Source organism: Homo sapiens, chromosome 20 (genome assembly GCF_000001405.40).
Source record: "Homo sapiens chromosome 20, GRCh38.p14 Primary Assembly".
Lineage (NCBI taxonomy): Eukaryota > Metazoa > Chordata > Mammalia > Primates > Hominidae > Homo > Homo sapiens.
The window spans coordinates 6,636,348-6,652,281 of record NC_000020.11 but is presented as its reverse complement, the minus strand read 5'-3'; the positions used below and the strand labels follow the sequence as shown (position 1 = coordinate 6,652,281).

The following is a 15,934-nucleotide window of genomic DNA, read 5'->3' as shown; positions in this document are numbered from 1 at the left end:
TAGAATAAAATTCAGCAGTCATAGAAAGGGATGCTCACATATTAAAATGTTAAAATTGTTTTCAACTTAATTTTTTTGAGATAGTGTCTCACTCTGTTGCCTGGGCTGGAGAGCAGTGGCAGGACTGTAGCTCACCACAGAGTCAAACTCCTGGACTCAAGTGACTCTCCTGCCTCAGCCTCTGAAACTGCTGGGACTACAGGCGCACACCACCATGCCCAGCTCAGATTTTTTATTTTTAGTAGAGATGAGGTCTTGCTATGTTGTCCAGGCTGGTCTCAAACTCCTAGTCTTAAGTGATCCTCCCATCTTGGCCTCACAAAGTGTTGGGATTACAGGCATGAGCCATCACACCTGACCCAACTTAATTTTTGAAAATGATGAAATAAGAATTCTGGTGGCCTGGAATCATAGTTTTAGCCCAAAACACATATGCCTCACCTATTCGGGAAATGAAAGCTTTCCCTGCCACATAAGGATATGATGTGACACTGTCCACATTTGTCATGTCACTCCGCTTTCAGATCACCTGTCACTGCATGGACAGCAGTAAGTTAACAATTACCTTGAACTTCCTGCTAATGAGCCTTCATAAATTACTAATTAGAGTCCCTTAAATGACTAGAAAGTTGAATCTGGATATCGCATCCTATGAATTTGTCACAACTTTGTCAACTTATTGTATAAATTTGGCAAGTGATTATCTTCAAGTAATGCAATTATCATTTTGTCAACCTGTTATTCAAAAGATAGCTATGGCCACCACTTCTATAACAGCAAAATTGACCAAGATTCTAAAAGTAAATAATAATATGTTTACATATCTGATAAAAACTTATAAAACTCCTAGTTTGCTTTTTTTTTTAAGTTATGGAATGAAAGCAGGTATGTAGAGAATAGAAGGTGGTTCTTGTTACTTTTCAAAACCAGTTCATCTTTTTTAGTGAGTCACATCCCTGTGGCTAAGCCAAGTTCTTCCACGTCCCCACTGGCCTCGGCTTTGGGAGCCCTGGGTGTGACTCACGGGTCATGATCCTGAAGACAGAGCCCTATATTTCTCCAAAAACAATTTAGGCCCCTCCACCTGTGACGCAACGCTACAACTCCATATAAATCAGTGGGAGCTTTTATGGGTTGACTAATATGTTAACACCCTGTGATCCAGAAATGGAGCTGCCTAAGCTTTTTTTTTCTTAGGTTGGGTCATACAAATTGTGTCTCAGGCAGTGGTTCTAGAGTTTTCAGTGTCTCTCAAGATGATGGCAGGATGAGACAACAATTGGATGATTGATATGCATGACTTTGTGCAAATCTTACCCATTTTTGGTTGGAAAGAGATCAATCCCTGTGCATTACGTTGGCTCTCAGCATAAAGCTGAGTTATAAAAACGTCATTCTTGGAACTGCAAGAACTGCCCCTATCTTCCAGTATAGGAATCAAAAATTATAATATTTGAACTTAATAACTGTGGACACAACACCATTCAGCCTTATTAGAAGGATCAAAGGAAATTCCTATTTATACTTTTTTCATGCTATTTCAACTTAGCTTTGCAATGTTTCATATCCAAACCACCTGTAGGAACCACTTCTTGCCATCTTAACAAATTCCTCAGGAGGCTATCTAATATCATTCAACAATATGTAAAAGATAAGAAAACATCATTTTTAAAGAAAAATCAAAATAAAATGTATTTTAGATTTTTTTTAACTTTTAGTTTCAGGTGTGTTACATAGGTAAATTGCACGTTGCAGGGGTTTGGTGTACAGTTTATTCCATTACACAGACAATAAGCAATCATTTTTGATCCTCATCCTCCTCTCACCCTCCACCCTCAAGTAGCAACTCAACGTATCTGTTATTAAATGGATATGGTTTTGAAACTAACCCATGATTGCAAATGAGTGTGAACTATAATCAATTCGTTGCTGCCCAGAGCATGGTTGGAAAGAATACTGGTTCTGAAGGGAAAATTACTGAATTGATTAGTAATGCCATAGGCTCAGAATTGGGGAATGGTGGCTTTAGTGCCATGTATTTGCTATCCATACCCTACTTCACAAGCCAGAACATTAAAAATTACTTTATTGTAAATTAGATGGAATACAATCTTAAGATAACACATTATCTAATAAATTCCCATTTTTATAAGTACTCTGTATTTCTCCTCAGTCAAGAAAGCCCTATTACCAAAATTTAGAAGGACTAAGCAGTGAAGAACACATCTACACAAAATACTCAGATACCCTCCCCCATGGTTTATTATTATTATTATTATTATTATACTTTAAGTTCTGGGGTACATGTGCAGAATATGGAGGTTTGTTACATAGGTATACACGTGCCATGGTGGTTTGCTGCACCCATCAACCCATCATCTACGTTATTTCTCCTAATGCTATCCTTCCTCTAGCCCCCCACCCCCCAACAGGCCCCAGTGTGTGATGTTCCCCTCCCTGTGTCCATGTGTTCTCATTGTTCAACTCCCACTTATGAGTGAGAACGCACGATATTTGGCTTCTGTTCTTGTGTTAGTTTGCTGAGAATAATGGTTTCCAGCTTCATCCATGTCCCTGCAAAAGACATGAACTCATCCTTTTTTATGGCTGTATAGTATTCCATGGTGTATATGTGCCACATTGTATGGCGATCCTCCATGATTTCAACATTAAACATATGCCAATGACTTCCAAATGTTTGTTCTTCAGACCCAGAATTGTTCCTGAGCTTTGGATTGTATTTTTAGTTGCTTACTAGACAGCTTCATCTCAAAAGTAACAAACTAAAACAGCAACAACAAAACACTTCTTACCTGAAAAAAAAATCTCTTTACACATTTTCTATTTCATTAATGGCATAATTATGAACTCAGACTAGAACCTTAAGATTATTCCTCTTTTCTTTTCAATCATTTGACACAATCAGCCACCAAATTCTAGCAATTGTAAGGCTTGACTTCTACCTCTATCCTAAACCTAACACCATTTTTGGGGGTATTAAGTTTCCATGGTTGCATAGCAAATAACCAAAAAAAAATAGCAGCTTAAGATAATTTGTTAGCTCACCATTTCCCTTGGTAAGAAGCCTGGGCATGGTTTGGCTGAGTCCTCTGCTCAGAGTCATACTCATTGAAGGCTCTGAAGGAGTTTCTGCTTGTGTGCTCTTTCAGGCCATTGAAGGATCCAGTGCTGCTGTGTAACTGAGATCCCATTTCCTTGCTGGAATCAGCTGTGGGCTACACTGAACTCCTAGAGACCCACCATCCATGCCACATGGCACCTCCATCTTCAAAGCTACAATGGAGAATCTCCCTCCCATCAAATCCCTCTTATGCCTTGAATCTGTCTCATCAGGAAGATGCCTATCACTTTTGAGGATTCATGGGATTAGTTCAGACACATTCGTGATAATTCCCTTGCTTAAAGTCAATTGATTCGTGACCTCAATTATTTCTGCAATATCCCTTCACAGAAGCACTGAGATTAATGCTTGATTGAATAGCTTGGAGAAGATGTGTGGACATCAGGGGATGTGGATTTGGGGCAATATCTTAGAATTTTGCCTTCCACTTTTTTCATGGTCACTGTTTTAGATGAGGCCCTAATAATCTCTGTGTAGACCGTTATAAGGACCATGTGACTCTGTCTTGAATGGGGTTCTCCCAGAAGCAGAACTTGAGATATAATATTGCAAGTTTGGGAAGTCTATTTGTAAGGTAAACCCAGGAAGCATTCCTGGGGAAGTAAGGAAATTAAACAGAAAAGAAAGGAAACCAATACAGGACATGTTGGTAAATACAGTACTTCCTCCTTATCCCTGATGGATACATTTCAAGTCTCCCCTATGGACGCCTGAAACCGTGGATGGTACTGAACCCTATATACACCGTTTCCTTCTATACACGTTATACCTATGATAAAGTTTGGTTTATGAATTAGGCACAGTAAGAGATTAACAACAATAACCAATAATAAAATAGAACAATTATAACAATATACCACAAAAGTCATGAGACTGTAATCCCTCAAAGAATTTTATTGTACTGTACTCACCTACTTTCAGCTCTTGGTTGACTGGGTAAGTGAAACCACAGAAAGCAAAACTGTGGATAAGGGGACTACTGTATGTTACCACCATGGGCATCTGGGGCTCACTCCTGCTGACAAGGGTGGGGAAGCTGAGGTATTTATCTCCCGCCTCCCACCTTTATTGCTTGAGGACTGCTCCTTCCCATTACATATATGCTGTCTGAATTTTTCTCTTCTTGACTAACTAAATACACAGATATGATCCTGTTGCTCCTCTTTCTAAAAATACCTATCTGTCAATACAATCAACAACCATTTATTAAGCATCTATAACATGCAATGCCCTGGAATAATCACTGTGGACTCAACAGTGAAAAGGTAGCCACTAATGAAGCTTATGATGGAAATAGTCTAAAAGTTAAATTTAGGCTGGGCACAGTGGCTCATGTCTGTAATCCTAGCACTTTGGGAGGCCGAGGCAGGCGGATCACTTCAGGCCAGGAGTTCGAGACCAGCCTGGCCAACATGGTAGAACCCCATCTCTACTAAAACTAGAAAAAAAAAAAATTAGCTGGGTGCAGTGGCACACATCTGTAATCCCAGCTACTCAGGAGGCTGAGGCATGAGAATTGCTTAAACCTCGGAGGTGGAGGTGGAAGTGAGTTGAGATCACATCACTGCACTCCAGCCTGGGAGACTCCATCTCAAAAATAAGCAAAAAATAAAATAAAATAAAAAATAAAAGTTAAACTACAAAATTCCTTACCACAGGTCACAGGTCCTTCAAAATCTGGTGTGAATTTAATTTGAAAGCATCTTCTTTCACATTCTCCATTAAAACCATCCTCTATTCAAGTCACCCACAGTCCTCAGTGTTCTTGGAAAATGTGTTCTTTCACAATTACATCAATTTTGCTGAAACTAAAAATGTTTTTCTCTCCTCCTTTTTAGATATTTTATTTCTATAATGTACCTGGTTCAACATCGGCTTCCTCTGAGCATCACCCCGACATCTCTGCCTCAACTGTATTTATTATTCTTATTACTCCTACCTCAGGGCCTGCTGCATAGGAGACCCTTCTGGAATAAACGCACTTAGCAACCACGAAAGAATGCAACAATATCCGAGTGAACTCTTTCTCATATAAATAATCGTTTTAAAATTTCTCTTTGTTTTAGATTTCTATGTATGGCATTATTATGCTTGGTTTCATGTATATGTTTATTTAGATAGGTAACTGAGATAGAGATGACTATCTATGAATAGAGAAAAATAGACATATAAAAGTAAGACAAGAATAATAATTTTAATAAGCATTTAAATTGGTTCTTAATATTCTGGGATTCAGCACAAGAGCTGGCTGACCAATGTGTTCTTGGGGCTGGTTTTAAAGCAGAAGTTCTCGTAGACATTAGGGAGAATTAAGCAATGCCGAATTCTCAAATTTATGTAAACTGTATCTCCTTTCTTCTGAGAAAAAAAATATTTTTCAATATATCCTCACTATGTTTTCCCCTTATTTTCCTCCTAGACCAAGTATTTGGAAGCATATCGATAATGTATCTGACTTACTAAAAGGCTACTTTTTAAAACAATTCCACCTTTAATGCTGTGAAGCCCAGTGCACATTGTAAAGTAGATATAAGTAATGTCTGTTAAGCAACATAAGGGCATTTAAAATCACAGTGGACCTATACAGTAAAATACGTATTTTAACCAAAAATGTCCCACATTTGTACTGCCACTGAAAATGAACTTCTGGACTCAGAAATCTGAGGTACATAGTTGAGATTCCTTTTGTTTCCCTTGAGCCTTTCTTGGTTCAAGAAGACTGCCAGTTCTAGAACACATTTCTCTTACTTAATACTTTGTTTTTAATAGCTATTATGAACTCCTATTATATGCTAAGCATTCTACTATGTGTTGAGGTTTTAAGCATAATATTGAAAGAAATGCATCAAGAAAGAAAATGTTAATTACTTTGTCTCAATAAATGTTATACCCAGTAGGCCCCAGATTTTAAACATTCAATTAGCAAAGGACTGACTTAATAAGGTTTGTGTAAAACCTCATTACCTTCTAGGAGAAATTGTTTAGATTTCAGATTAGGAATCCTATCATCACAATACCGAAAGAATACTTCCCTGAGTGAAACAGACAAGATTGCGTTGTCCCAGAAGTCAAGAAAAGCCTAAAATACATCATTCTTTTAAGTTCCTATAATATTGAAAAATAAAGGTTATCATTTTATTTAAAAAATTACTAATTGTTTTAAATATTTATCTTAAACTTGCTAACACTTTTAATAATACAATGCAATAGAAAATTGTGATATTTATAAGATTAGTACATGTATTTATAAATAGTATTATTTCATGGTTTATTGGAAATTGAATGGTTCAGTTAAAAGGACACAAGTTTTAAGTTGTAAAATAGACATCTTTGGATTCATCATTAACCTCTATAACAGTATGCATGTACGCACAATCACATTTAGAGAAAATGTCAAAGCCTTATTTATTAACTCCTTTGGACACTGAGTGTCTAAATGTGAGGTCACACTGAAGTGTCCCAGGACATGCCCCAGTCAAAAAGGGGAAAGTGGCTGATATTTTGGAGCTGTCATTGCCCAGGACCCTGGCATACATGAGAAGGGATATTTTACTTTAGAAATATTCTCCGTTTTTAGAATCAAGACAGACTTCCCTCTCAGCACCCCCTCTCCTCACCCACAAACCAAAATCCTTCCTGCCATTAAACATGAAAATCCCTTTTGATGCAAATAGAAAGTACTCTGTTCCTCCCTAACACACAACATACTTGGCCTATAGCACTTAAGCGTGATTCTAAGTTAGAGGAGGATGTAGCACCAGAACTAGGAGAAATTAGGCAGATATCTGGAAACGAGATAAGGTAGGAAAAAAAGAGGAAGGAAGAAAGAAATAAAGGAAAGAAGGAAGGAAGGAAGGAAGGAAGGAAGGGAGAGAGAGAGGGAGGGAGGGAAGTGGGAGGAAGGAAGAAAGGAAAGAAATGAGGGAAGGACGCAGGAAGGAAGAGGAAATAAGCAGATTTTTCAAGGAAGAAAAGACGGAAGACCTTGTCTAACAGGGCAAAAATAGAAAGGTGAAAAAGCTCCAGGGCCTTTGCAACACAGACATTGAATCAGGGCTCTAGCCCTTCCCAACAATGAAACGATAGGGGAATTCAGGGCTCGGGCACTGCTCCGGCATAACTGTGGACAGATTTTCCCCCATATGTTTACAGAATTCTGAAAGTACAGAAATAGCTGTTGAACTCTAAGCAGTTTTTGTAAAATTACCCTAGCTTGGAGATGTTTTCGTTCTACCCTGGGGACTCTTTGGTGAAATCTAAATAAGTGAAAAGCTTCAGCTATTTTGGAGATTTCCTTGCGCTAAATAATATTCTGTAGATTGGATTAAACACAGAAAAAAAATGTAGATTTTTCACATTCACATAAATCAAAATGGCTGAATGTTTAAAAACAAAAAACGTGCCCTCAGGCTGAAACCAATTATGGAAATTCTTAGCAAAAAGAGATAATTTATTAGACCATTTATAACAAGTACAATAAGCAAATGAAAACTGATCTCCATGACCTCAGCTACCATAAAAACTACGACGTTTTGTATGTATAAGAACGATCACAATAAGGTGTCCACATGGGCCCACGGGAAGAAGGATTGGGCTGTCAGTCTGCAAAAATCCTTCCTCATCAACACTTGATGTATCACTAACTTGGGAGACAGTTGGCTGAATAGTTGACAACTGGGGGTGACTTTTCTTTCTCCTGTGATTCTATTTGTTGACTTCATTGGCTTTCAGGAGATAATTTGATTGATTTCAGGAGATAGTTTGATTGATTAATTCACAAAGGCACAGTGAGAACATCCCTCTTCATCTGATTAGTTTCCATGTATTCTTCAGACAGCAGCTCAAGCATCACTTCCTCAGGGAAGCCTTCTCTAACCACAAACTCCCAACGCAATGAAGCTAAATATGACATTAGATAGCCTCTAATCAACTTCTGTCTGTCCCCTAGGTGAGAATCCCTAGAGTACAGAAATAATGTCTGTTGTGCTCACCATGATAGCCCGGTGCCTGTCACAGTGGCTAGCCTTTAGTGAATACTCAGTAAACATTCTTAAAATGAATTAGTAAAGCATTGTTAGGAAGACTTTGACTGCAAAGAACAGATATCCAACTGCATTTAATAAGCTGCCCAGACACAGGTGTTTTCAGAGTTGGTTACTTGAGCAGATCAACCACGTTGGGACACTTCACTGTCCATCTCTTGGTTTGCCTCTCATAGTCACAAGGTGGCTGCCACAATTATGAGCACATATTCTCACACAACTGGCTGTACAGCCAGCAGACAGAGAGGTAAGGAATCACTTCTCAAACATCAGGTTCTTACTAGAAAATAAAATCTTTCTATAGGGATTTTCTGTGAAGACTTCTCCCTCAGTACTCATTGGCTGGGTTATGGTCACATGACCTGAACTTATTTGCAAGGATGACTTGAGAAAAAATTATCTGGCATTTTCCATATCTATAATAAGGGGAGGACTCTGCAGGCAAGAGAAAAGGATGAGCAAGTGGCTACTGGATAGTAATCAGGTGTCTTCTGGAAAAGCCTAAAATTATATTTTTATTACCATTATTTTAAGAAACCCATCAATAAAATATGAACCCTGTTGTGCTATAAGAACATGGGGAGAATGTGTTTCTCATAGAGCTTTCCCTGGTCCAAAGGAGCAGATGTGCAAGTGAACTCAAAAATGCTTCATAAATTATTACTCCCAGTGTCTGATAAGAAAAAAGTGCTACCAATATGATGACCTTGAAGATTATTTTTAACCCCTATTAAATTGGAGACTCACATGAAAACTGTACCCCATATTATCTTGCCATCATTGGCTGATGTTATTTAACTGATGGCTGCTGTCCATTAGTGGCTGTCATTACAGCAAAATGGTTTTGTTGAATGTGGAGAATAATATTCCACACTCTTGTTGATTTTTTTTCTATAAATAAAAAAGCTGCTGTCAAGCACCTAGTAGATCAACCAAAACATCTGGTAATCACAGTTAAATAGATAAACATTGTTTGGGGGCCAAAAGAGTTATAGATTGATTGATATATTGACAGAGCCTCTGGAATGTCTCTGCAAGTTTATTGAAACCCATTATTATTGAGAAGTCGTAGACCCAACTTACTTCATGATTCAAATATGGGTTTTAATTGAAGTGCAGACACTGGAGACAGATTTTATGTCTTTTACCTTCTCCTCTGTCCAGATTAGCTCCACTTCTAACCCTGGTTTAAAAATTCCTCAGTAAGGGTCAAGGTGCTGAAATGTTCTGTTTAGCTTTGTTGGCAGGAATTTGACATACCTGGGAATAGAAGCCACTGGTACCATTGACTTGGAGATGAAGGATGAGTTCCTTCTTCAACTCAGAAAGATAGGAACACGAAGGCCCCACTCAAGGTTTTCCCAGATCTCAAAGATTAGTGAGTCCACTCTTCCTTGAAACTGTTGATCAGATCTGGCAAATTCATTCATTGTTTCAACTCACACTAGTACTGCCAAGAGTCCTGCAATCATGGGCCCTCCTCATAGCGGGATATCGTTACACACTGTGTCACTTGGGATCAGCTGAAATTTTGTTCAGGTGTGGGAAGTAACTCCCAGGAAAACCCATCTGATGGTTTGGTATTAGAGGAAATTCCTGGTTTACTTTGTGGCTGCTTCACAGGAAAAAAAAAAATGTTAATTGTATTATTTAGGCTTTTTGTTTTTCCTGGCCGCATCACCACCTATTACATTTTATCTTCCCTTAAACTCATTTCTTATATTTATAAGCTTTGCGATTTCCAAAAATTTAAAACTGTACCTCTCTAAGAATATTGTTCCCTTTTCCCTCCATTCTGAAAAGTTCCATACACACAGCCATTTCCCTATGTGCTGTGATTTGTATGTCATTCTCTGTGATGTGATGAGCCTCTCAAAATGTTTAAACAAATACCAACAGAGATTGGTTTGTTCACGTGAGTAAAGATTAGAGATGGCGGCATTTCTTTGGGGAAACTTGGAAAAGATTTAAGTTTGAGGATTTGATATTTCTCAAAGTAACTGAACATGTTCAATAGAATTAATCATATTTAGGACACATTTTAAAAAAAGCCAGGGAAAGATAAGTGATATGTTTCTTTGTGTTGTCCAAAGGCTATCTGCATTAAAATTAGCCAAGGAGCTTGTTTTAAAAAGGCAGATTCTTGGTTTCCTTTTTAAATGTACTAAATTCAGGGTTTTTCAGAATGGGATTTTGTAATATGGGATTTTGGAATCTATTCTTTTGTCTATTTCTCGAGGTGATTATTACGTATCTTTGGGAATAATTGGTAGAAGACATTTCCAGTCTATTAATTTCCCTGATTCATTGATCTGGAACAGAGAAGGTAAGTGGGTGATCCACAGGAAACAGGAGAAAGTTGTTAGTTTCTAAATACAGAGCTTGTCATAGCTGTAACTTAGAGTATATCGATGAAGGGTTTGGGGGTATCTTTGTGTCATGGACTTCTTTGGCAGACTGGGGAAGCCAATATATCCTTTCAAAAGCATGAAACAATACATAGATTATGAAATGAATTATGGTAAGGTACAATTTTATATGTGGACCCCATGAGGATCTGTGAACAGCAAATTAGGAATCTCTGAGCCAAGAGATAAAGTAACCCAACTATCAGAAGCCAGCTAAGTGGGAATGATCAGGTTTGATTAGATGCTGTCTGAGGCTTGCAGTATGATTGAGCACTTGCTTCAGCAGGAGAGTCTAACAATGCGTCAGAAGGAAGTCATTGAAGATGATAACAAAAGTGTTTAAAGGTGGAATCCATAGCAAAAGGGTAAAACACATATCCCAATTCCTCTTTTTTCTCCCTTTTCACTGGATCCTTCCTCTCGCCTACACAACTGAAAATTTCCTTCCATTTTAGAAGTTTTAGCTTGGTCCTACATCTCCCTCTAGCTACCATCCCACCTCTCTCTCTCTCTCTTTTTTTTTTTCTAGGTAGAGCATCTATTACAGAAAGAGACATTAGCACTTCACTCCTCTCTCACCTATAACCTACCTCCTGTCTTCATTTCACCACTGCTGTTTATTCTGCCACAATCAACAGCGTTTGACACTTCGGACCACTCCTTCTGTTTAGTACGCTGGTTTAGTTTCCTAACTCCTCAACTCCTCTTTGCCTGGTTTTCTCACTACTGCAAATGCTCCTTTTTAGTCTCTCCTCTGCTCCTAGTTTCCATCACCCCACAAATGCCCTCAACCCTATTTCCTTCACATTTTATCCATCCCTTCTTACAATTTCCACATACTGCCTGATCTTAGGTCTTCATCCATTTCTCCTGATTTATTGCACCAGTTGCCTAACTAATCCCCCCAACTTTTGCTCACCCCTCTGATCCATTCTGTACCCATTCCCAAACAGGAAGGAAGCATTCTCCTCCCTACAGCTGACCCTTCCCTTGGTTTTCATTGTTTGCCATAGTTTTCTTCCCAAATATCCTCTTGGAAGCTGTGCCTGTCTGGGAAGGCATGTTTCTGTGTGGCCCCAGAGTACCCTGAGACCTAAGTGATGCTTTCAATATTGCCTCATTGATTATCTCTCCTTCTAGACTATGAGCTCTGAGAGGCTTCATAGGACACACCCAGTCTTTTATGTCTCTCCTCACATCACACATAGGCTATAAATTTTTTAATCAAATTAGAAAAATCGCCTTAACAAAGGACTGATTTAACAAATAAAAATATAAATAAATAGGATAATAATAAATTACTGCCAATCATTCTCTGCCTCTTTGGACAATAAATGCTGTGGGAATTTTTGTGCAATTTATTCATTCACCGAACACACAGTTTTGAGTGACCTGTACGTGCTAATATTCAAGGTACTGGGGATTCAGTATTGAACCAAGAGACTAATGAGTAAGGTAGGTGATATGGTTTGGCTGTATCCTCACCCAAATCTCATCTTGAATTGTAGCCCTATAATCCCCATGTGTTGTGGGGTGGGGAGGACCTGATGGGAGGTAACTACATCATGGGGGCAGGTCTTTTCCATGCTGTTCTCATGATAGTCAATAAGTCTCATGAGATCTGATGGTTTTATAAAGGGCAGTTAGCCTGCACATGCCCTCTTGCCTGCTGCCATGTAAGATGTGCCTTTGCTCCTCCTTCACCTCCTGCCACAATTGTAAGGCCTCCCCAGCCATGTGGAACTGTGAGCCCATTAAACCTCTTTCTTTATAAATTACCCAGTCTTGGGTATGTCTTCATTAGCAGTGTGAGAATGGAATAATAAAGTAGGCAATACACAAATACATGCTAATAAACTGTGATAATTGTATGAAAAGAAAATGTCTTGAAGCACCTATGTAGCCAAGGAAAAATGCACACTATTTCTAGGAACAGCTCTGAGACCCTGGAGAGTGGAACTGGCCCTTGCATAAGTTTTAATATTTCCTTTTCCTTTAACTGAAGGCTTATGATAAAAATACCCTAAGGAATTTATTCTTTCTTTTTCCTCCACACACTGTTCTTAACCCTCTAGACTGACCATCCTCATGGGATGAGGAATACCCCTCTCCCCTGAAATCTGGGGTAAACCTGTCCTGCTTCACAGGCTGTTTTCTTTATCTGGATCCATCGTGGCATTCCATAAGCAAGCCTGCTTACTGATGACAACATGGTGCGGGAACAAAAGAGAGCTTCTTTTTGAAAAAGGCTTTTTCATGTCCCAGTTTTATTTCCATCTCCTTTATTCATCCCTCTGAAAGTGTTGCCACCTCCTTGGGCCAAGGGGGCCTCATTGGGTTGGCCTGGTTTTCTTGAGATCCATGACAGAGCTCCTTCTCTTTGGGGTTGGGGTGGGATTTGTGCTCCCCAAGGCATCACCTGAGACCAATAATCAAGGAAACTACGATAGTGCTGTTCTTCTTCTTCCTTCCATGTTGTTTACTTCCACCCTAACTTCTTGGAATTAGTATGTATCTTTCCAAGAAAGGAGAGGAAGAAAGTAATGAGAGAAAAGAACAACAACAACAACAAAAGAGGAAGCATACTTCAAATAGAAGGAGAATTGTAAATAGAAAGGATGGTGGGGCGTGGTGGCTCACACCTGTAATTCCAGCACTTTGGGAGGCCAAAGTGGGTGTATCACCTGAGGTCAGGAGTTCGAGACCAGCCTGGCCAATATGGTGAAACCCCGTCTCTACTGAAAATATAAAAATTAGCCAGGCATGGTGGCAGGTGCCTGTAATCCCAGCTACTCGGGAGGCTGAGCAGGATAATCACTTGAACCAGGAGGCGGAGGTTGCAGTGAGCCAAGATCGTGCCATTGCACTCTAGCCTGAGTGACAAAAGTGAAAATCTGTCTAAAAAAAAAAAAAAAAAGATGATTTTTCACTGTCCTTTTAATGAAAAGGAATAAATTAAAATGGGTGCTGAAGTGAAAGATATCACCACCCCATCTTGCCCCAAAGATCACTAGATTTAATAAATGTTTATTGAGCAACTGCTATGTTCCAGGCATTGTGCACAAGTTCTGTAGTGCACAAAGAATGTTGTAATTACTAAACAAACACATTCCATGAACTTGGGAGGGGGTTATCAGCATGCATGTTCCATGTTTTCCATCATTGGTGTAGGCCAGTGGTTCTCAACCTTGGCAGCATATTAAAGTCACAAGGAAATAACTTTTTTAGTAGCAATGCTAGGCTCTAACCTCAGATATTCTGACTTACTGATTTAGCATGAAACCAAGACATCATTAAGTTTTTTGTTTTTGTTTTTTGTTTTTGAGACAGAGTCTTGCTCTGTTACCCAGGCCGGAGTGCAGTGGCATGATCTCGGCTCACTGCAACCTCTGCCTCCCAGGTTCAAGCAATTCTCCTGCCTCAGCCTCCTCAATAACTGGAATTACAGGCACATGCCACCACACCCGGCTAATTTTTGTATTTTTAGTAGAGACAGGGTTTTGCCATGTTGGCCAGGGTGGTCTCGAACTCCTGACCTCAAGTGATCCACCTGCCTTGGCCTTCCAAAGTGCTGGGATTACAGGTTTGAGCCACCGCACCTGGCCCAGAGATTGCCAAATTTTTAAAAGGTGGTTTTAATGCAGAGCCAGGGCTGAGAACCATTGGCCCAGGCAATAGGTAAGGAAGGTGGTCTGATCATTCTGAAAAGGAACCAGACTAGATATTCCAAAGTCCAAGAAAGAATCTCTCTTCCTATACTCAATTTCCGTTCTGGACAACACGCTGACTTAGAGCCTTTGGAGGAATTGCTTTCTTTCCCAGCTCCTCTCTCCCAAGCACTGATCTCTACTCCCAATATCTCCCTACATTGAATTCCTCTTGTGGGTGCAATGCTTGGACTGCACTCTCTGTTTAATAATGGGGTTCTCCCATTGGCTACATCCCAACCAATATTCCTGCTCTTTTTCTCCAAGCCCCTCCCCTCACAAATAATATATATCCAGAACAGGTTGAAATCTCAGTGTTTGTTGGTAATCTATAATCTATATAATTACATTACTCAGCTACCAAACCTACTCCTGTAAAAAAGTAAGAGATATGTTTTTCCTGAGCCAGAAAGGTGGGACCCTGACACTCCCTCACAGTTACACCTTGGGTTGGGAAGGAGCCTTTATTTGCATGACAATTCCTCCACAAAGAATATCCACACCTCCTTTTCTGAGCCTTCCTTCCTGGCTGAGCTGGTGCTCATCAGGAAACAAAATCTCATCCTAGCCAATGGAACAGGCAGTGCCTTCAAAGTAGGCCAAAGAATTTGGAGCTTGTCTAACCAGAAATTCTTACCCACTCCCAAAAAATGCATATCCTGTTCCTCCAAAGGATGGTAATTAGCACCTGCTTCCACCACTGAGCTCCTGTGGGATCTGGCCAGTTGCTCTCACAGCTCCTCTGGTCTCTCTTGGCTCCCTAATGAACCACATCAGTCACATGATGTGCCACCTAATCTAGTAGAGAGGGTGTTGCAGGACTCTGTTAACTTAGGTGTGACTGCCTTAACAAAATCATTAGAGAGTACATAAGAAAGGATGCGGCTAGAACATAGCTAGGGATATCCAATTAATTTGACAGCCACAAGTTCCTTCCCAGAAAGATTATAACATCATAGAATACTGAAGCTTGGAGAGGACCTTAGAAATGATCTGATCCAGATGTTAACATTTTAGGACTCCTGGCTTCTGATTAGATCTGTCCAAAGCAATGGACCTTCTTCCCAGAAAAATATGTGTACACACAAAGTTTTTTTCACAGCTTCAGGAGGTTGGACTACAAATACCATTGATTGGGCTTATGAGCCCCCTGTAGAAGAAGGCTGATACAGTCTAACCCCCTCCCCACCACCCCAGTACACTTATACACATTTTATAGGTGAGGACACTGCAGTCCAGAGAAGAATGAGGTTCTCCAAATGACTCATAGATTAGTAGCAGAAACGCAAGCTCCAAATTCCTGATTCTAGTCCCATAAGACTCAGCCAAGACCACTGTTCTAATACCTTCTTAGATGTTTTGGGACTGACTTTTTCAGGGACGATTGTCCTTTATCTGAGGATTCCCGTTGGACTTTTCTCTGTGTGCACGTTGTGTCTTATTGGCAAAATGGGCAATCATATTCCTTTTACTGGGCAGCCTCTTTCTTAGGAGAAATGACTTAATCTACTCAAAATATTTCCAAGCATAACGTCAAGGGGTTGGAGAGCCTGAGAACCATGTCTTCACCAGAGCACCACCTGGTGGAACATTGGAATAAATTCTATGTAAGCCCAGGGAAATGCCTAGGATGCA

At 39.7% G+C, this 15,934-nt stretch overlaps 1 annotated feature.

The window, feature by feature from the left end:
• Positions 14,518 to 15,031: an enhancer, noted in NCBI's record as "OCT4 hESC enhancer chr20:6617898-6618411 (GRCh37/hg19 assembly coordinates)". NCBI's record gives its function as "activates a minimal SCP1, AML or CMV promoter by ChIP-STARR-seq in naive H9 embryonic stem cells {active_cell/tissue: H9 hESC(naive)}" and the evidence as "EXISTENCE:reporter gene assay evidence [ECO:0000049][PMID:30033119]".